The sequence below is a fragment of the Homo sapiens genome, chromosome 3, assembly GCF_000001405.40.
Source record: "Homo sapiens chromosome 3, GRCh38.p14 Primary Assembly".
In the NCBI taxonomy this organism is placed as follows: Eukaryota; Metazoa; Chordata; class Mammalia; order Primates; family Hominidae; genus Homo; species Homo sapiens.
This window is the reverse complement of record NC_000003.12, coordinates 54,760,335-54,782,247: the sequence shown is the minus strand read 5'-3', so window position 1 is coordinate 54,782,247 and position 21,913 is coordinate 54,760,335. Positions and strand designations below refer to the sequence as shown.

General features: G+C 41.5%; 1 protein-coding gene across 1 annotated transcript in view; it reads right to left on the bottom strand.

Moving 5' to 3' along the window:
* CACNA2D3 (calcium voltage-gated channel auxiliary subunit alpha2delta 3) overlaps positions 1 to 21,913 on the bottom strand; it is a 952,006-nt gene that overhangs the window by 292,310 nt on the left and 637,783 nt on the right. Inside the window, exon 13 of the mRNA NM_018398.3 lies at positions 17,897 to 18,030. Coding sequence (NP_060868.2) covers positions 17,897 to 18,030 — 134 coding nt within the window. The remainder of the gene's footprint in view (positions 1 to 17,896; positions 18,031 to 21,913) is intronic.

The following is a 21,913-nucleotide window of genomic DNA, read 5'->3' as shown; positions in this document are numbered from 1 at the left end:
TGTTTTGATACAAATGTGAATGCTAATTTTAGTCTATATATCAAAAATGGTCAATTGACCTCATTAGGAATATACCTTCCAGCTAGTATTTAAACAAATGGTTGCATGTGCTATGGGTATTTATCTCTGACCAACACCAAAAATTTTCTCAATTACCACAATGGATATTAGAAGTGAACTCTTACTGGTAAAACTGGACATATCCACTCTGTGGATTGGTTCAATATGCTGCAGGAGCCTTGCCTTTCTCTGCAAACACCCAAATAAGTACTTTGGGAGCTCTATCTTTAGAAATAGTGCCCCCTGGCCAGATTTTTAAACAGTCTTGCCTTCAGCTGCTGACTCAGGCCTCTCAGTTACCTGACTCCAAATAGAACGTTAGCTGACTCTTGCAAATAATGCATTTGCTCTGATGCAAGGGGCCATCAGAACACCTGAAGGATAAAGAGCTGGAACCTCCTTGAGCTTTAAAACAGTTGGCTTTTGTGCATACTTGCTAATAAATATCTGCATAGATGGCAGAATTGGCCTGAGACTTGTTACAGCCTCACTGCTAAATGTTGGAGGATGCCAATAACTACTAAAAATATTTTAACATGTACAAATTACCGAATTGGCTTGGATTGTTCACTGCAAGGACTTAGGCTGTATTTCCTAAAAATGAACACTTATCCCATTGGCCAGCATAGGGACTAATCTTTAGCTCAGTAGATGTCTTTTGTCAATGAACTAGGTAACTTTACATCTGGTTCTGCAAGTGTCCCTAGAACACTGATGGCCAAAGAGTAGACTCTCCTGTTTACTGACCAGCTACAGACAGAGAAGGGCAATCCAGCTTAATAAGAGAACCATCAAGCCCACACATTCTGAGTGTTCCTAATTCAGCCCTATGTTGGATTATCATCTCCAGAGAAATGGGAAATTGGCAAACTTAATCTAGATTCCATGAAGTCTGGGGAAATCACCAGACCTTACAAAAATGTCTGGCTCTGCTAATATAGCAAAGGGCCTCTGTGAATGTATGTACTGTGGCCAAGGCCCAGCCCTTGCTGTGTCTCTGCATTCCCAACCACTAATCTTCTTTTCCAAGTTTGTTCCTGTTTGCACTCAGTTGTACTTGGTTGAAAATCTGTTCTCAGTAACATTAATAGTTAAAATTAAGATTATTTTAACCCTTAAATAACTTATGTTTAACAAAACCACAACATTTTCTAAATAAAAAGACCCACACATTTTAGTAACCAAATAGGAATATCATTTTTAAAAGAAAGTTTTTTCAATACAGTTTTGTTACATACGTATTGTCATACAGTGATCAATACTTCTTGAGAATTTCATGCTTTTACATACCAGAAAGCCAAATAAGAAGCAGATTGTCAAGTGCTATGATGGCAAACAGCTGTCAAAAATCTATGATTCCAACCCCCCCACTCCTTTAGTATACTGTTACAAAAGTTGAAATGCTAATTCATTAAGGATTTCTTAGCGTCTTCTTCAGGAAACTCACTACCATTCTATCAAGATATCAGGCTTTCTGGGAATTTTCCTTTCCAGTCTGGCCCAGAGCAATTAGCTTGGCCTGAATAAGGATGGTAATTAAAAGCAGAGAGCATTTACAATCTGATGAAGAACTGAGGGCTAATGCTAAAGAAGCTTCATGGACCTGCATGTTTTTCCTGGCCTCTCCCAGTATCAAATTTCTCTGGAGTTCACCTAAATCATGATGATGTCCCACCAAAAAATCACATTCCACACTTCCCCATAAACCATATCTTTAGCAAGAAAACCACTGTTAGGAACTTTTCCATCAGACCCAAGTAATACAGTATAAACAATATGCCTTAAGCAATCAATCTTTTCCCCAACATATTGCATTTAGCAACATGCACAGAAAAGGAGCACTGCAGAAATGTGGTTCATCCCCCAAATGTCCCTGTTCTTCCTTCAAAATCAGTAACTGCTGCTTAGATGGAGGTGGCATTCATAAAAGTCAGTTGCTTCAGACCTAAACTTGATCATTCAGCTAGGTTTTCAAAAGGAAAGACAAATATGACACATGCATTTTGGAGACAATATTTTAGACTCTCTCTTAGTACCACCATCCATGTTGTAGCAATATTCTTTATATTATTTCTTCTGTAAGCCTTGGGGTCTCATTGTACCGTTTTTTAGGAAAAGTATAGTACAGACAGGGAGAAACAAACAAACTGTAGTGCACAGTAAACAGAGACTGGTGGTAGGACTGAGAGCAAGCCACTTGGCCTCTCTGAATTCATCCTGGGTACTTACTCTGTGCTAGGCACAGTATCAGGTTATAGAGACACATCACAGACTGCCCCAGTCCTTACGCTACTGTTCAAGAGATAGACAAAACAAGAATTTTAAAAGAGAGGGAAAAGTCAAAGCACCTAATTAAGATAATTCTAAATGATCATAATCTCTATGAAGAAAACCTATAGGGGACCTGAGATGGAAAGGCAATGGACACATTTTAGCTGAGACAAAGAACATGGGAAAGAGCCTCTTCCCCAGTAGAGAAGCAGAGCAGCAGGGGAGTCTTTCCAGTTCAGAAGGAGAAGAATGTTCAAAAGCCCAGGGGAGGGAGAAAGTTTGGGTTGTTCAGGCAACTAAAAGGTGACCAGCACAGCTGATGTTCTGAGAGTGAGGGAGAATGGCCAGCGATGGTGAGGCACTATTGACCATGGTAAGAACTTGGGGGAAATACAGAAAAAAGCACATTACAAGTACAACTGTAAGGGATTATTTTCAAGGATTTCCTGAATGCCCATTACTTGACAGCCAGATTTGATTCCAATCTTGCCAAAATCTTGTTTAAAAATTCCATTCTGGGCCAGGAGTGGTAGCTCACACCTGTAATCTCAGCACTTCGGGAGGCCAAGGTGGGTGGATCACCTAAGGTGAGGAGTTCAAGACCAGCCTGTTCAACATGGTGAAACCTCGTCTCTACTAAAAATACACAAATTAGCTGGGCGTAGTGGCACACACCTTGTAGTCCCAACTACTTGGGAGGCTGAGGCAGGAGAATCACTTGAGCCTGGGAGGTGGAGGTTGCAGTGAGCTGAGGTTGTGCCACTGCACTCCAGCCTGGGCAACAGAAGGAGACTCTGTCTCAAAAAAAAAAGCCCTTCTGTTGTAACAGTGGGCAAAAGTAACATCATAACGGTGGGCAAAAGTAATATCAATTTTATCTTAACAATGACACAGCTGATATGTCAGAATGCCATTATCTTAGCTCCTCAAACCGTGGACACATGAATTCAGATCTTTTTGATGAATGTGGCAAAATCTTTGTTGGATTGGTGGTGCTGGGTACCTGAGAGAGAAGCCCAGTCTCATGGTGAAGATGCATCCACTCATCACATGCCTAATGAAGATGGCCTTGAGCAAGGATGCTACATGCTGAGTGAAATGTTGGAGAAGATGCCATTCTTATCTAACAGCTAGAAAACGCAGATATTTTCACATGCCCTCCAACCTTTGGATCTCTGAGTCTATGAGATTTACACATCTGATTCTATACATATACTTACTACGTGCCTGATCATATATTGAGGATGCGACAGTTAACCAGACACCATCCCTCTCCTCAAGGAATTTAAAGTTCAGTGGCAAAAAGTTTATTTGGACTTCTTAATATAATAGTACAAGAAGTTCTAGGATGGTGCTACATGCTTTGGAAACAGGCCATCAATGCCCCACTCTAGACTGGAGGTCCATCCAAGGAGGTCAGAGGAGATGATGAAACTGAGACCAAAGGATAAGCCCAGAGGCTTCTGAATGGAGTGGGAGGAAGAGATCACTTCCTGCAGAGAGAAAAGCAGGTACAGTGGTCTCGGTGTGAGAGAATACAGGGCTGGTTCTAGAGACTATAAATGTGTGAGTAGGTTAAGGCTGGAGGATGGCGGCACGGAATGGGGAAAGGCCCCATTCAAACTGTAACCCCCAATGTTGGAGAAGGGGCCTGCCGGGAGGTGACTGGATCATTGCTGCTGATGTCCCCCCTTGCTGTTCTCCTCACAGTGAGTGAGTGGTCATAAGATCTGGTTGTTTAAAAGTGTGTAGCAGCTCCCCACTCTCTCTCTTCCTTCTGCTCCAGCCACGTAGGACGTGCCTGCTTCCCCTTTGCCTTCTGCCATGTGGAAGGAAAAGACTGAGATGTTCACTGGAGTCAGGTCATCAAGGTCTTCAAATGCTCTGAATTTAGGCTCCCCTGGAGGGTTTTAAGCCCGTGGTGATCCTACTTAAGCCAGCAGTGAGCCTTTAGATTCTCTAACTTATTAGTTGACAATTAAAATAGCTCAATTATTTATGAAAACTTTTCAAATTGGGTCTTCAAATATTTTCCAGAGGCAGACAGAAAAAGTCATCTAATGTGGTCTCAAGATGTCCCTGCACTTATAAGGTGTGTGGACAGTGTTTCCCACTGGTCCCTGCTATTGGAATACCATGGGGGTCCATTGAACCCCATGTTCCTCAAAGGAAGGCTCTTTCCATGGAAACAACTGCTCCTTTAACAGCTGGCTAAGTGACAGAGAAACAGACTATAGGATGAGTACTCCAGCCTTGCTTCATCTTGGGCTGCCTTTAATTTGATCACTTCAGAAGAGAAATCAATGACAAGCGTGTTTAATAGTTGTTTCTATCAACCAGAAAAGATGTTGATGTTCCAGATTTTTAGATTAAACATAATGAAAATTGATTTAAAAGCATGTTCCTTCTGCCTGAATAAACTACTGGCTTTGCTTTTCCTTTCTTTGTTCAGAACAAGAGAGAAATTTCTCCTAAGGACCTTGCACTGAGAGATAGACTTAGTCATGTCTGCTCTGTACGTCTAATAAGAGCATGTGTCACCAGCAGAGTAAGGTTAGGAGGAGCCCTCAATGGCCATTTCACTCATAAGTGGGTGTGAAAGGTCATGAAGGCAGGGGAGGCAAGAGTGATTCTCTGCTACTTTTAAATAGAAGCAGGCTAAGAGGCCAAGTCAGGTGAAATGTCCTTACCTATGGTGTCTTTGTGCCATGGCCTCATAGATAACACATTTATATTTGGCACATCGATTCTTTTGGAGTAAAGGTGAAAGAATGAAATCTTTCACATGGAGAAAATCCTGTGTACAGTAACAGAAGAGAAACTGGCAGCTGATATCAAACCACAGGCTGATTCTCTGGGATTATTTTAATTGTTCTTCATGCTGGTAATAAGAGGAATGTGTTCATTTTAGTCTAAACCATGTCAAAGCATGAGAATCAGCTCTGAGAAGTTAAGTTACCCAAATATCTGGGCCATGAAGTGGGGGAAAAGCAGTACAGATTTGGTTGTGTTGGCCAAAATATCTTCCTCAGCTCTCGGAAGGCACAAGGGAGAGGGCTTCCCACCACCCACACAGCAGGGATAGTCTATGGAGGAAGGGCAGCATCCTCCAGGATGTGGGGCCAGGGGGAGGCTGTGGGGACACTTGGGTCCACTGGGGCTTAAAGGAGGATGTGAGCCTGGGGCTCAGAGAATAGGAAAGAAGACCCACTCCTGAGAGTTAGGATCAGAGCTCAGCCGGGCTGTAAGTTACAGAAACCTCAGACAGAAAGACAGAGGTCTAGAAATGCCAACTCCTTCAGACTCTAGGCATTTCCTCCTATCCAGGCCTCTTTTGTTGTTGTTACTGTTTTGTTTTGTTGTTTTGTCTTTGTTTGGTTGCTGTTTTGTTTTTTTAAATTGGAGACAGGGTCTCACTCTGTTGCCCAGGCTAGAGTGCAGTGGTGCAGTCATGGCTCACTGCAGCCTTGATCTCCAGGGCTCAAGTGATCCTCCCACCTCAGCCTTCCGAGGAGCTGGGACCACAGGCACATTCCACTGTGCCTGGCTGATTTCTTCAATTTATTTTTTGTAGCGACAGGGGGTCTCACTATGTTGCCCATCTCCAACTCCTAGGCTCAAGCAATTCTCCTGCCTAAGCCTCGCTAAGTGCTGGAATTACAGGTATAAGCCACTGCAGGCAGCCTCCCGACCTCTTAGAAAATGTTATCCATAGCCCTGGCTGATCTGTTTCTATCCCTTGGCCTTCTGGGACATAACTGATTGGATAAATGATGGACATCTGACCTCAATGGAACCATGGGCTAGAGTGAGTTGTGTATATAATTTGCTCAGAAATGTAAACTCAGATACACAACACACACTGATTTCATCCTTTTTGGATCTCAACTGGGGCATTATGTAAAGCCAGGACTGGGAGGAGACCAGGAAACTGTGTTTCACCGATGACTGGGGATGGCAAGTAGGAGGGACAAGAAAAAAGAACAAAGGAAGAAGGAAGAAAGAACAAAAAGAGTGGTCATTTGCTCTTGGTGGCTTCTTGCTCCTTGATGGTCCTTATCCCTCCTGGGGCTGCCCCTGAGCCATCCAGTAAATTTCTCACAGCTTGAGTGGGTTCTCTTGCCTACAGCCAATGCTTTCTAAGAGGTGACAGAAGTACAATGAGCCAGTGTTTGATCATCAGAAGTGATGAAGAAAAATAAGGCCGAAATATGATAAAATAGTCATATTACTATACTAACTTTCTCAATTTGATTTTTGAATACAGACACAACCTGCCAATCCCCATAGCCATCTTTCCTAACTGGACTCAACCCAGCACTCTGTTGTAAACTAAAGGGTACAACAGAGAATCCACAGCAGAGAATCCTATACGACTATTCTCAGAGGTTGACACCTGATTACTTAGAATACTACCTAGGCTCTGCAGTGCAAGGAAAGATGAAAACAATGCTTCAGAGTCTCCCTGGGATGTGGCCAAGCAACTGGGCTTCGTGTCTCCATTTCCCAATACCTACCAGAGGACCTCTGCTTCTATATGCTTTATATGAAAGGGTCCACAAAGACATTTAACTAAAGGGCTCCATAGCTTAACAGTATGGTATCATAATTAATACCCTGCTGATGTGGTACATGATCTTAGGCGTGGATTGGTTTCGGATTCTACCAACAAGTTTTGTGCAGGACTCTGGTACTTCTCGGTCTTCCCAGGATCAATTTCCTTTTGGATTGATTTCTCCTCACTCTGTGAGATTGAGGCCATTAAGTCATAGGTCTGTCTCATCTCTCAACGTTTGGCTGTGACTCAAACAGGCCTATCTATCATAGGCTTAATATAAATGCTGAAAGGCAAATAAATTAAGGTTTATAAATGTAATGAAAGTTAACAACATTATGTTAGATACCAAAAACAGTAGAGCCATTTTTGGCACCATGTAGAGAGATCCTGTCTGGGAATTAAGCCAATAAGAGTCAAGGAACAGTGGCCGGGCGTGGTGGCTCACATCTGTAATCCCAGCACTTTGGGAGGCTAAGGCAGGCAGATCACAAGGTCAGGAGTTCGAGACCAGCCTGGCCAGTATGGTGAAACCCTGTCTCTACTAAAAATACAAAAAGTTAGCCAGGTGTGGTGGCGGGCGCCTGTAATCCCAGCTACTCAGGAGGCTAAGGCAGGAGAATCACTTGAACTCAGGAGGCAGAAGTTGCAGTGAGCCAAGATCGTACCACTGCACTCCAGCCTGGGCGACAGAGTGAGACTCCATTTCAAAAAAAAAAAAAAAAAAAAAAATAGTCAAAGAGCAAGTCAAAATAATATTGGGATTAACCCCTGATATGGTTTGGGTCTATGTCCCCACCCAAATCTTGTATCAAATTGTAACCCCCGGTGTTGGAGAAGTGGCCTGCTGGGAGTTGACTGGATCATGGGTGCAGATGTCCGCCCTTGCTGTTCTCCTGAGAGTGAGTGAGTGCTCACGAGATCTGGTTGCTCAAAAGTGTGTAGCACCTCCCCACTCTCTCTCTTCCTCCTGCTCCAGTCATATAGGACATGCCTGCTTCCCCTTTGCCTTCCACGATGATTGTAAGTTTCCTGAGGCCTCCTCAGCCATGCTTCCTACATAGCCTGCGGAACCCTGAGCCAATTAAACCTCTTTTCGTTATAAATTACCCAGTCTCAGTCTCGGGTAGTTCTTTATATTAATAGTGATGCGAGAAGAAACTAATACAACCCCTGAATCTAGTCACGCCTCAAGACAGAACTGCACAGACATCCTGGTTCCAAGAGTCATCAAATTGCCTTTTTGACCATTCCCACTTTGCACTGGAAGCTGTGACTTGTAAACAAAGAGTGCTGAATAAGCCATCATGTTGTATGATTATTCAGGCTAGATGCTCTTATCCATTGGTGTATGGCAGAGGATAGAGGCTGTTCTTTCATTACAGACAGTTGCAAATCATTAATCCATAAAAGCAGAAACAACAATAAACACCTGAAATCTAGAAATCATTTTCATTTTTAGCCCTAAGCTTTTCTACTAGTTGACAGTCACCCATATAGAGTTTTAGGACATCTTTTCTGAAGATAATAATTTTATATCATCAATTCATGGTTTTATAATACCAACTCTGTTTAATAGAAAACTCTAGAATCAATGGAAGAGGAAAATATTTGGATGCATATAAGTGGTACCAAAAATCAGGAATACACTCATATTTTTAACATCTCCTGGAAAAAAATAATCATAACAGTAATCTGTTTCAATGGAAATAAAGTACTGTAATATTTATAGTCTGTGCCAGAGTTATAATGACTGCGGGGCCAGAAGTGAAGTGTCACAGCATGCTCCACATGTTTTTAACACGGTTTCTAAAGGCTCTGGAGGCTATTAAATTTAATGAACCCATCTGCTATGAAATAGAGGTCCCAACATAATCAGTTTCCTCCTTGCCATGTAATGCAGATGGCATTCTCTGTTCCACAACCCAGCAGGATGGTTTATGTTTCTCTTTACGTGTGTCTCTTTGTTTTGACGATTGGAACTTCTTTGATATGCAGCAGTGTCTTGGAAAAATACTGTAAATTCCATTTCCAAGCCCAAGAACATCCTTAGGATGGCTTTGACCCCATTTAATTGCTTCTAGGCAGTAAGAGGTTATAGCTTAATCACCCAAATGACTCCTAAATGGCCTAGGTGCCATTCCTAGATGGGAAACTGAAACAAATGTGCAATTTATCAAATGCATAGTGTTTTCTCCAAGTTGGACTTAGTGGGGGCTGAGAAGGAGGGATACAGGTCCAATTTGCAAATGCAACTAAATTGGTTTGAAAAGTTCCTACAAATTGCCTACTGAATTGCATTACCAGCAAACGGGAGGGGCAAGAGGGCTTGATAATGAATTCTCATTATTTTAAATGGTCACATTCCCACTGTTTCTAAAACATTTCTTTGCTTCCCTTCTGCGTGTCACTGTGGTCTGTGTAAACTCCCCTGGAGGGGCTGATCAGGAATGCTGATGCTTCCTTGGTTTGATACTGGTTCTATCCTGCACAGCAAGTTGAATAGCATTCCCAAGCTGATTAAGACCCAACTCCAAAGCACAAGTCATTTGCTTTTAAAATGGAACAAATTCCATTGTTAATGATTTTTTGCTCTGCACCTAAGAGATAATGACTATGCATGACTTGTATTCATATGAGAGGCCTATGAATTTCAGAATTCTGGTGTTTGCTGTTTTGTCAATTAATACATGAGATCTTATTAGATTCAACATAATTAATGTTGTTAACATTAAGTCATTTATTTGGATTTCACCAGGAAAACAAATTGAACAGAACAGCCAAGCAGGAAACAGAATATTTAATCAGACTGGTAGCAACAAGCAGGGAGAATGGGCCCTGAAAGGAAGTTTTGTCAGTTTCTGATTCTAGAATTGGTTAAATGCAATGATTGGCTCTCATGTGCAAGAACCCAAACTCAGCTTCTGTTCACAGCTAAACTTTTATCTTGAACTTGTCCAGAACCAAAACTATGGATCAATGTATAATTAATAGCGAAAGCACTATACTCACGGGTCATTTTTAAGCTATTTATTTAAGCATTAAATCAGTTATATAATTATATTTACTGCTGCTGGGTTTTCAGCCACAAAAACTGATGAGTCAAGCAAAGAGGAATTCCTTTTCCTTAACTACCCAGATAATTACAGAGAAAGAAGAGTCAGACCATATTAAGCCATCTTTTGGGTACAAGTGTCCAAACATACTAGATAATCAACAAATACTTACCTACTCCCTTAGTATTTAGTAGAAATAATACACATCAGCAGGGTCACAGATCTTCTGATTCCTAAAGGAATCACAGCTCCTTTCAGACTGCAATATAACAAAGAGAACCAGGCTCCTCTGGGAAACATCAGTGCTAAGTAGAAATGTTATGATGAAGAATGGACATAGCTATCCTAAAACCTTCTCTTGACAGTTTGCAGGAGATATGGTTGCATTTCCTTCTGGCATTATCTTTCCCTCTCAGACCAGAGCACATGGACAGAGACCACTGGGGTAGGCAAGATTCAAAAATGGCCCCCAAGATTTCTGCCCCAAGTACACACCCCATCAAATTCCCTCTCCTTGAGTGTAAGCTGATGGGATATCCCTGGTATAATTAGATTACTAATCAATTGACTTGGAGTTAATTAAAAAAGAAATGATCCTGAGTCAGCCTGACTTAATGGAAGAAGCTTTTAAGGGAAAGTGAAGCATCAGAGAGATGTATTTTTGCTGGGCTGGAGGAAAACAAACAGCATTGTGTGACAGCCTACAGGGGCCACATGGCAAGGAACTTTGGGTGGCCTTTGGGAGCTGGGAGTGGTCCCCAGCTGACAGCAAGCAAGAAAATGGGAACTCAGTCCTATACGGGCAAAGAACTGAATTCTGCCAACAAGCTGAATGAGCTTAGAAGAGGCCCCTGAGTTGCAGATGAGACCTGCAGTGCAGCCAACGCTTCCTTGTAGCCTTGTGAGTGCCTGAGCTGAGGATCCACCTAACTTGTGCTGAGACTTTTGATCCATGGCAACCTGGAGATGATACACTTGTGCTGTTTAAAGCCACTAAGTCTGTGCTGATTTGTTAAAGGGCAGTAGAGAACTAGCAGAGCCATACAGGTGATGCTGACCCACATAATGGGAGTGTGTTGGTTGTTTCTAGATGGAAATCACAGCTGCTCACACACCAATTAGTGACCCCTCTCTCTGTGTCTGGAAAGATCTGTTCTCCTTCTTGGAGTACACAGCTGCCCGAGGCCACTAAGAGACAATAAGAGAAAAAGCAGACACTAACCCAGCCCCCAGATCCACCACATCAACCAAGGATGACACAAACAAATCAAGGAAAATTACCCTATAGAAAGAAGGAAAGAAAAATTAAGCATCAGTTTTCTCTGAATGCAAGGAAGATGTTTTTTTTCTCCCTAGTTTTTTATGGTTGCTTTGCCCGTATTCAGCACAGTGGTAATTTTTTAGCAACTTTCTTTACAGTCTTTCCAAAGCATTCATTTACAGATTCACAGAAACAATGACTTTCTTTTCATACTCACAATTTGTTGGTTTAAATAATATTTAATTCATTTATACAATTATGATAAAATTACCACTGGCATCAATAGGTTTGGGAATGAAGACAACTGACTTCAAGTAAGCTTGCAACTCAAGCATGGGGAACAGACATATGCTTCGTGCACCAGAATGGCCTTCCAGATCACATGTCCAGGGTGCTGTGGGCGACAGGCACAAATGGCTGCATTGCCAAGGGCGCTTAACTGACACTGAGTCAGTTAAGCTGTGGCCAATTAACCCTTTTCCCGTTTAGAAAAACAACAAAAAAAGTGCAGCTTGCTGCCAGCACTCATTTAATTTTGCATAAACACGGTTTTTGAGGTTGAAGCAAATCTGACTGATTTTCAATGTGAAAATAAAATATAAAAACTGTTCTTGGAGTTATTTCTAAAACAGAACTAACATCAAAATTGTTTGAATCGTCAGAATCGCTTATTTTGGAAAAATCGGATTCATCAAACGAATCTTTGGCCAACAACTGTTTGAGAATGATGTTAACATCATGTGTAGGAATGCAACATTCTCTAGGATTTGACATTTTTAGCCATTGAGAATTACTATATTTTGTAAATGTAAATACCACTACTAAAAACAGAATGTTTTGGGAAACAGAAGACATCATTCTCTTTATAGGATATTTATAGAAAAATAATAATAAAAGTGAGATATTTTGTGGCAAAGTTATCTCGGGTTAACAGCTGCAGCCGCAAGTGTCGGCAGCAAGTATTTTCGGGGCAAATGGGCAAAGGGTGAAGGGGGCTGCTACCGTATTTCCCTTTCCTTGTGTAATTCAGCAAGGGCTCTCCTCAGTAAGGGTGTTGGGGTGAAAGGTTCTGCCTGGCTAGTGCGGCACAATCCCAGTGTTTTCTGGGGACACTGACCCAGGCACCCACCCCCAGACATTAGTGCCTGGCTCACAGCACATAATTACAGCCAAGTGAATTCCAAAGAATTAAAGAGTATCGTTAAACAAACAATGTTTTCCAAGATACTCATCATACTTAACTACCAAGTTCTATTATGAATATGGTAACAATCATGTAGCTACTATGTGAGACCCAGCTCAAAGAAAGAAGAATCCAGTATTTTTAAAAACTTCCTTCAGCCCAGGAAATAAACTCACACTAGGTTTTCTAAAATTGGGAAATGACAATAAATAGTATTTATTGCATTCATACTATGCATAGACATTTAATCCTTAGAGTGAACCCTGGAAGGCAGGTCGTATTCTCATGTTAGAAATGAGGAAAACTATACTCAAAGAGGCTAAGTAACTGGCTTAAAGTCACAGAGCAAATATGGAGTAGGCATGCAATTCAAACCTGGGATGCTGTTCTAACCTAAATTCAGTGCCCTTAGTGAATAAACTAAGGTAGACGATAAATATGCTTAAAAAAAAATCCAGAGCTATCAATACCAACAAAACATCAGGTTACTAAAATGGAGTCAATCATCATTCCTAATGCCAAGTGCTCGTGGAGTCTAGTCTCTTTCATTACTGCAAGCTGGGTCACCTTAGGGTAATGCTGGCTTGAAACTGTCCTGGATGTGTCAGGACAGTCATAAATTCAAAACTGCTCATCTCCCCCTTGATCTTCTGGGTGGTTCCAAAGTTGGTAAGCATCTCAGAATTTAGACTCTGCAGATGAGTTCACCATGTGAACCCTGTTTTGACCCCGTATAAATGATGGGGTTTTGTTGTTGTTTGTTTGTTCGTGTCCTGGCAGAATCCAGGTCCACATAAGGAGCTGGAAGAAACTGCTGCTTCCTGGTCAGAGGTACCTGTTGAAGCAGCAGCTGCCTTCTCTTCACCCGGCAGACCTAACAAAGAGGAAGACAGACTCCCCAGTGCCCTTCCTGGCCTGACAGGTTGCTCAACACCATGAAGAGGAGAAGGAACCCTCAGAACATTCTACCGGGAGATGTATTTATTAGGGCAATTTGCAAAGATACAGCAACAGAACCTTGGGAAGCACAGCAACAATGTTGGGCTATCATTTTAGGGATAACCTGATTTTGTGGGTTTAGTTTTATGAACCTCAAAGAGTTCTTTAAGAAGTAGAATAAATGAGCTCTGTCATCTTGGCATACCAAGTTTACTTAGTAATGGGCCACGTGAAATGTTATTTTAAAGTAAATAAGAATGATTATGGCACAGAATGTAAAATTTGTGCAAATGTTTAAGATAAAGCAAAAGACTTCAGAGACTTTCCTCTGTAACTACATGCCCAGATCTGCCCCAGACCATATATTTTGGCTCTGTGGTCACAAAAGTACTTCAGCGCAAAAGTTTGAGTAGCAATGGGTTCCCCCTCTAACTTCCTATATCTGTATGTAATTAGCAAATCTAATACAACAACCGATTTAAGTGCTGAACATTACCTAAAGCAAGGCATCATATTAATGCAAAGCTGTATCTGCTTCATGAACTTATATCTGCCGTGAGCATCAGGTTATGTGTCCCTGGTCAAAACAATACATAAGTGTGATGTGTCTTTCTCTGCAGGCACACAATGTCCATCTGCTTCTCATTGGTGGTGCTAATTTTGAGGACCCGCTCAAGATGTTGCTGAGATTCATCCAATATATAGTATACTAAGACAGTGTACATAGTATCCCACTGTTCAGGTGCCACTTTTTCCCCCTCAAGACTAATGAAAAGTCTAGGGAAGCATTTTGAGGTCATAAAAATACCCTGCTCATCATCGAACTTTCCCCCTAGATTTAGCATCCATTGACAGACCTTTGCCCTAACTGGTCTTTACCAAAATGGTTGCAAAATAGTGATTTTCCAACTCCATCACTCCCTCCTCATTTGCCAGTCAGCACTCCATCATACACTGCACTCTTCTCACCCACTGACTTACGTATCTGGTTCATCTGTTTGGGATTTGTTTAGTTATTTATTATCAGTAAGGACATGTGGATTTCTGTTTTATTCAACAAGTTACAAACCATTATTGTCATTCCTTATTTTGAGGCTCAAATTGTCCCAGATTTGACCAATGAGAGCCTCTTCATGCTGATCCTGTGTCCTTTTGACATGACCACATTATTGTTTTGAGCACTTCCTTAGTTTCTGGCACAAAATATTCCAAGCTTATTATTATTATTGTCATCATCATTATTATTATTTGGTACCTTCTCTGCTGCAGCCCTGGAATAAGCAATTACTCTAAGGGTCCCTGGCTCCTCTTAGTGGGGAGTGTTTTTTAGAAGCCAGAATCTGGGTACTGGATGGGCTCATTGCTACTTGGGTGCCACTGCTTATAGGTCCTTTAGAAAGACAGAGTTGGGATTTTCCAATCAAGTCTAATCCCATAGGCAGATCCCCTGTCTTCAGCATTTACACATTTGCCCAATACCTCCATACTCACAAAATGGATTCAGAATTGCTGTAACCATATTACCACAAATGACACCAAATGGAGTTTAGAATTTATTTGCAGTTCTCTTTTCCTCCCTAGATTGAGGGGTAGAGAGTGAAAGTATTGTGTTCAAAATTTAATATTGTGTGTACTACTATATTCTAAAGTTTTTTTCCTCCCTTTCTGAGAAATTTTTTATTCACTTGAAATATTATTGGATTCATTTTGTTCTGTTTGCATTCACTTTTAATTTCCCCCCAATCTTGTTTAATTTTTGAATACACAGAACATTCATATGCTTTCAAAAGTCAAAACTGTGCAAAAAGGTATACTCAGAGTTGTGTCATTTTCTCCCCAAGCCCTGCACCACCTCCCATATCCTAATAAGATGTGGGAGGTGGTGCAGAGAAGATGGCTTGGGGAGGGAATGATAGTTCTGTTGGTAACCAGTTCTGTTGGTTTCTGGTTTATTCTGTTTCTTGTTTTTGCTTTTTCTTTTTTTTTTTTGTAAAGTAAGTAATTACATATCTATCTTCTTTTTTCCTCATTTCCTATATAAAAGGTAGTATGCTATATATAATTCTTGCAAAAAGTAGTATGCTATATGTGATTTTGCTCATTTTACTTAGAAGTATATTCTGTAAATCACTCTCTATCAACTAATGCAGGTCATTCTCATTCTTGTTTTTAATATTGACTCCATTAGGTGTAGGTACCATAGTCTATTCAATCTCTTATGTTTGGGCATTTAGGTAACTTCCCATATTTTGAAATTACAAGCTGCTCTGCAAAGAACAAACTTGTGCATATATTTTTGTGATGTTAAAGGTCCATCTTCAGGGTTGAATTCTTAGAAGTAAGATTGCTGGATCAAAGGGTAAATGCAAATTAACTTCCATAGAGATTGCCCCATTTTGCATTCCCACAATCAATGAATAAGAGTGTCCCTTTTCCCATAGCCTCACCAACAGAGTGCAAGGTTAAGCTTTTAGTTTTTGCCACTCTGATGGGTGTGAAATGGTATCTCATTATAGTTTAATTTGCATTTTGCTTATTATGAAGTTGTACATCTTATGTTTAAAAGCCATTTTTTATTCTTTTTTGTGAATTGTCAACTTTTTTGCTCATTTTGTTCCTATAGCAATTTTGGGAGTTTCTCCTCAATTTTAAAAAGTTCTTTGTATATTGGAGATTATTAATTCTTCATGTGTACTATGTGTCACAAATATTTTCTCCTATTTTATCATTTGTCTTTTGGCTTTGCTTATGATGTGTTTTTGGCTTACAAAAGTTTTTTTTTGTTGTTGATAAATAAGTTGTAGTCAAACTTATTTATCTTTCTCTTTATTGCCTGTAGATTTTGCAGTCATTGTTAAAGTCTTCCCAGAATCCAGGTCACAGAGGAATTTACCCAGGTTTTCTTCTACTGCTTGTAATGGTTTCATTTTTTACAATTTAGACGTCTGATCCACTTGGATTTCTTCCTTGGGTATGATGTGAAGACTGAACTAATTCTATTTTTCTCTAAATGGCTATCTGATTTTCCCAAAAGCATCTATTACAAAGCCCATCTTAGCCCCACTGATCTGACACATCACCTCTATTATATACTAAATCCCCATATGTAGTTGATTTTTTGGACCTTCTACTCTACTGATCTGTCTGTCCAGGTGCTACTACCATAATGTTTTAATTGTAGAAACTGTGTCTTATATTTTTTTAAATTGATGAAACAAATAAAATGACTGAACAAACTGGCTATTTGGGGTTTGTACACAAAACCACTGAGTGATTTGGTTACTTTAATACTAGCTAGCCACACTCCTCCTCCTCCTCACTCCTATTTTTCCTGCCTTACCCAACAACATACAAGAAAAGATGAAGTTATCACCATGGCTGCTATTGTTAATATGGTGCCAACATAAATGGGGCAGCTTATTTTGTTTCCATGATTTAAAACCAAACTGGGGACAGACTCAAGCTGATAAAAGCTCATGGTCTCCCTAGCATCGGAGAAGCCTTTTCAGCTCAACATTCATCTTTATTCAAGATGACTTTTCCTGGGGAAGGAGTCTCCCTTTTTGACAAGGGGATACATTCTTATTTCCAGGGCCGCATTGCATACTTTAAGGCTGAGATGGGGCAGGCTGCTGTGGCCTGGCCTGTGTCATGGTGTCCCCTGAAATGAGTTCCCACATGCTTTTCCTGCCCTGAGTTTGCCTGTAGCTGCCAGAAGTGCAGCAGGAATGAGAGAGCCCAGGGAGAGAAAAGCTGACCCATGACAGCCATTGAGATCACTCTGGAGGACAGCTGTGTCTGGGTTACAGTGATTAATGTGATGTTAATCCCAACAAAAATGACTGGAGAGAGGCCCTGTGAGAACACTTACAATCAATAAATGAAAAACACCACTCCCATCAGACTTATTATCACTATGAAAAATCACCCTGAGATTACATAAGAAACCCAGCCATTGAGCCATTACTTGATGATTGGCAAAGCTCCTCCTTTTCAGCTAATTCAGCATCAGAATCTGCTGTTTAGAATTCGGCTTTAGAATGGGCCCATGGTCAGAGTTCAAACAACAATCCAGTGCCTACTGAACCACCATTCAAGCATATTCTCACTTATGCATGGGAAGAAAATGCAACTGTAGCCTCCATGGTGGCCCCAATTCATTATTAGAGCTGAGCTTTGGTTACATTCCCAATTGAGACACAAAGATTCATTGCCAGGACTGGGGCTCATATATGGTGAGGACAGAATCTAAGAATGCTTGTAATCATTGCTACACTGACAGAATTTGAACACATGTGAAAAAGTGGGACAGAAGTAACGAGAAAAGACAAGCAAAACGTGATTTCTTTTGTGCAGACCAGCTACCTTTCTGAAGTACGTGTCATACTTTCTAGTACGTTATGATTTTTCACCAACTTTGCTTGTCAAGGTGACCAACACTATACAAACAATCAAGAAAAGTGTCACTGAACACAAAAAATAAGAGTGATACAGTTGCTATTTTCTGGAATTAACACAATTTGGGGATGGGGGTAAAGCTTAGCCTCTTTCCCAGGGCCCCGTGGACTCACAGTGCTGTCAATGTAAGCTTCGGTCCACACCACATCATGCTCCTGGTCGATGACTTTGGGCCGGCTAAGCACGTGAAGGTATTCCATGACATTCTCCTGCACATCAGCCAAGGTGGAGATCTGGGTAAAAAATCCTGTCAAAACCCAAGGGAGGGCCAAGTTTAGTAACAGACAGAAAGACTTGCAACTGGGAATATGCATATGCCATGCCTTCTTGCCCTCTAGCTAGTTTCCTTCTTTTTTCTTTTCAATGTTAGCTCCTCTCCCCCATTTTTCTTTTCAACGTTAGCTCCTCTCCCCGATCACCCACTTTATGAGTAATAAGTTCATGTTAGAAAATACAGTCAAGCAAATGTAATAAAATTAAAATCAACCATAAACTCATCTCCCAGAGGAAGTTCCTGTTAATTCTTTGGAGAATATCCTCCCTAACTTTATATGCACCCCCCCCCCCCACATACATATATATACATATATATACGTATATATATATGTATATATATGTACATATATATACATATATATACGTATATATATATGTATATATATGTACATATATATACATATATATGTACATATATACATATATATGTGTATATATATGCACATATATACACATATATATGTATATATGTACATATATATACATATATACATATATACACACATATATACATATATACACACACACACACACATATATATACACACACACACACACACAGTATATGTTTACACAGACATACTGTGTGTGTGTGTTTATTCCCTGGTACAAATGACAGTTCTTTCTACATGATATTTTGTAACCTTATTTTTTCATTTTTGTGAGTCTATTTCCAAGGGAAAAACTAGGAACCATAAAAATTAAAGGCTAGTTCATTTTTATAAACATAACAATAATAGTTATGATTAATTTTTGAGTGCTAGGTGCCATAAAATTTGCTAAACACTTGATCAACGTTGTCCCTTTTCTTTGTGACAACATATTTAAGTGCAGATGACTGTGCCCATTTTAAAGATAAGATGACCGATGCAGATGGGGGATATGTTTTTTGCCTATGTTCTCTCAGGCATCAAGTAGCAAATACAGATGATGAGTCCAGGTTTGTAAGTCTCTTAATTTGTCCCTTTTACTTCTACTGAATTTTGCCCTTTGCATGTTTGAGGCTAAAATTTCAGCCCATATCATGATGTGGTCCCCAGTGCTGCCTTTTAAATATGTTGGGTAGACATGATTTCTTTTTCTTTCTTTTTTTTTTTTTTTGAGATGGAGTCTCACTCTGTCGCCCAGGCTGGAGTGCAGTGGTGCAATCTCTGCTCACTGCAAGCTCCGCCTCCCGGGTTCACACCATTCTCCTGCTTCAGCCTCCTGAGTAGCTGGGACTACAGGCACCCGCCACCACGCCCGGCTGTTTTGTATTTTTAGTAGAGACAGAGTTTCACCGTGTTAGCTAGGACAGTCTTGATCTCCTGACCTCGTGATCCGCCTGCCTCGGCCTCCCAAAGTGCTGGGATTACAGGCATGAGCCACCACGCCCAGCCAGGTAGACATGATTTCTAAGCAACAGAAACATTCTCACCATGCTGTTGTCTTGTGATTGGTGACACTATTTTGGTCTTTAGTTCCAGGGCGCTGCTATGTTCCTGTACTGCTGTAGAGCTTGGGGTCACATCAGCTTTGCTGTGGGTTAGGAGATGTTAAAAGGGAAAGGGTGAACTGAACACAGGCCTGGATCCCTTGGAGGGAGCCCTTCATTCACACATTTATTGAAGGTTTCCTTTGTGTTTAGCATTGAAGAAGCAGCGATTAACAAGGTGAGCAAGACCCCTGCCCCCCCTGGGGCCTGGCAGTTCTGAGTAAACAGACAATTACAAAATGGCACATTCAACATTAAGCTAAAACTTACAACAGGCACAGCCAATCAAATGTGGTTACCTTGAGCAAGGGTCAGTGTAGCTAGAACCTGAAGGATGAGGACCAGTTAGCCAGAGGAACTGGGATTAAAGATGGTGTCCAGCAAAACAAGGAATATAAATAAGGACCCAGGATCAGAGAGAAGCAGGCCCCTTCTAGGAACTAAAAATAGCTCAGAATGGCTGGAGTTAAGGAGTTGGTAGAGAGAGGGTAGAGTTAAGATGACATAAGATGACAGAAATGGGCAGGAGGACTGTCACACAGAACTTGGGAAAGAGTTTAGACTTTATCCTATACGCAGGTAGTCAGGGAAGGATTTCAAGCAGGGGATGGACACAGATTCTTGTTTCCTCCCCGTGCCTCTAAATAAGGATCCTAGGCTCATACCACCTCCTACTCGCCAAACAAATTAAAGAGAGTATGTGTGCCTCTGAGGCCAGCTCCATCACAGCACTAGCTCCAGAGTTTATAGAATCTCTTAGTGACTAAAATAGGGCTCAGGGTAAGGAAATACCAGCCCTGCTGTTGTCCAGAAAGGGTCGGGACCCACCCAGAGGATTTCCAAACAAAGGCCAGCTGGTTTGAATTTGGTGTGCCAACCCCAAACCAGGTTGGGACCATGTGGCTTCTGGGTTCCTGATGACAGCTCTGCATAGTGCTAATTAGCATGCATTGTCACTCCTGCCTGCCCCACCCTCCTGGCCTGGGTCAGAGCCTTTCCCATCCCAGGGGAAACAGGGCCCCAAAGGAATAGGCTGTGAGTTTCTGTCCTAGTTTGAGACCTGGGAGCAGGGCCTATGTTCACCTCTCTCAGCCATCAGGCACCATAGTTAGGGAGACCCATTTGGAATGCTGCTCTAGCAATGCTCCTAGATGGTTCCTCTTAGAGGCATGGTCGGAAAGGACAGGTTTTAAAAAGGATTGCCAGAGGATAGGGAACATGCCACATACACAGTTATCATCTCTCCAAGCATGGAGGCTGCAATCAGCGTTTGATAAGAAAGAAAATATTTCATCTCTTCTTTAGTAGGCAAATCTTGGGCTCTGCGTTAAGGGGTCTTGACACAGAGGACAAGCTAAGAGGGGTGCTACCATGGTAAAGTAGGGAGACACAACTCAATAGCTCCAGACCTTAAGGATACAGGGATGAGTGCTTTGCAGTGTCAAACAATTCTGTTTAGGTGCCTGTGCTCTTGGGCCCAGACAGGATCTTGTAGGAGTTCTTCTTGGTTGCCTGTATTCACATCTAATCCTCAAAGCCAGCAGTAAAGCTCTCTGATTTGGATTTTCCAAAAACAGTGCCAAGGGAAGAAAGATGAATTTAAGGAGGAGGGTGGGAGGGACAGGTTATTAGGATAGAGAGGGAGTTGGGGGAAAACAATCATACATTTGGAAAAGGACAGAGCTGAGAAATCATCCCCACTTGTCCTTGCTTATCATAGCCAAGGTTCTGAAAGATTACAGAAAGCTGACTTCTCTCCAGAGCGACAGACCCACGGCCAACTGTATACCCGACACCTCCACAGGGATAACTAGCAGGATTCTCAGGCCGAATGCATCCAAAGCCAACTCCCGACTTCACTTCCCAAATCCATTCCTCTCCCAGTTGGTCATTCTCATCTCAGAAAATGGCACCACTTCCCAGAGAGGCCAAAACATAATTATCCTCCATATCCCTCCTTTCCTCACCCCACCCCATATGTAATACACCAGCATGTTCTTCTGGTCCTATCTCTAAAATCTATCTAAATTCACTTCCCAATCTCCACTGCTTCACTACTCCAAGATGCCATCATCTCTCACCCAGAGTCCACAAGAGTCTCCCCACAAATCCCTCTCCCCCTTGTCTAGGCTCCTCACAGCCATCAGAGATTGTCTAAGAGGTCACAGCAAATCATCATCTTCCTGGTTGAAATCCTACAATAGCTTATATTTAGAGTTAAAATAAAATCCAGATGTCTTACCCTGACCTCCAAGACCCTCCCTGAATTGGCTCCACCTACCTGGGTGACCTCATCCCTGCCATCTCCCTCTTGCTCACTGTTCAGGCTTGCTGGCCTTCTTTCCCCGCCTCTCACATGCCAACTGCGTTCCCCTCCTCA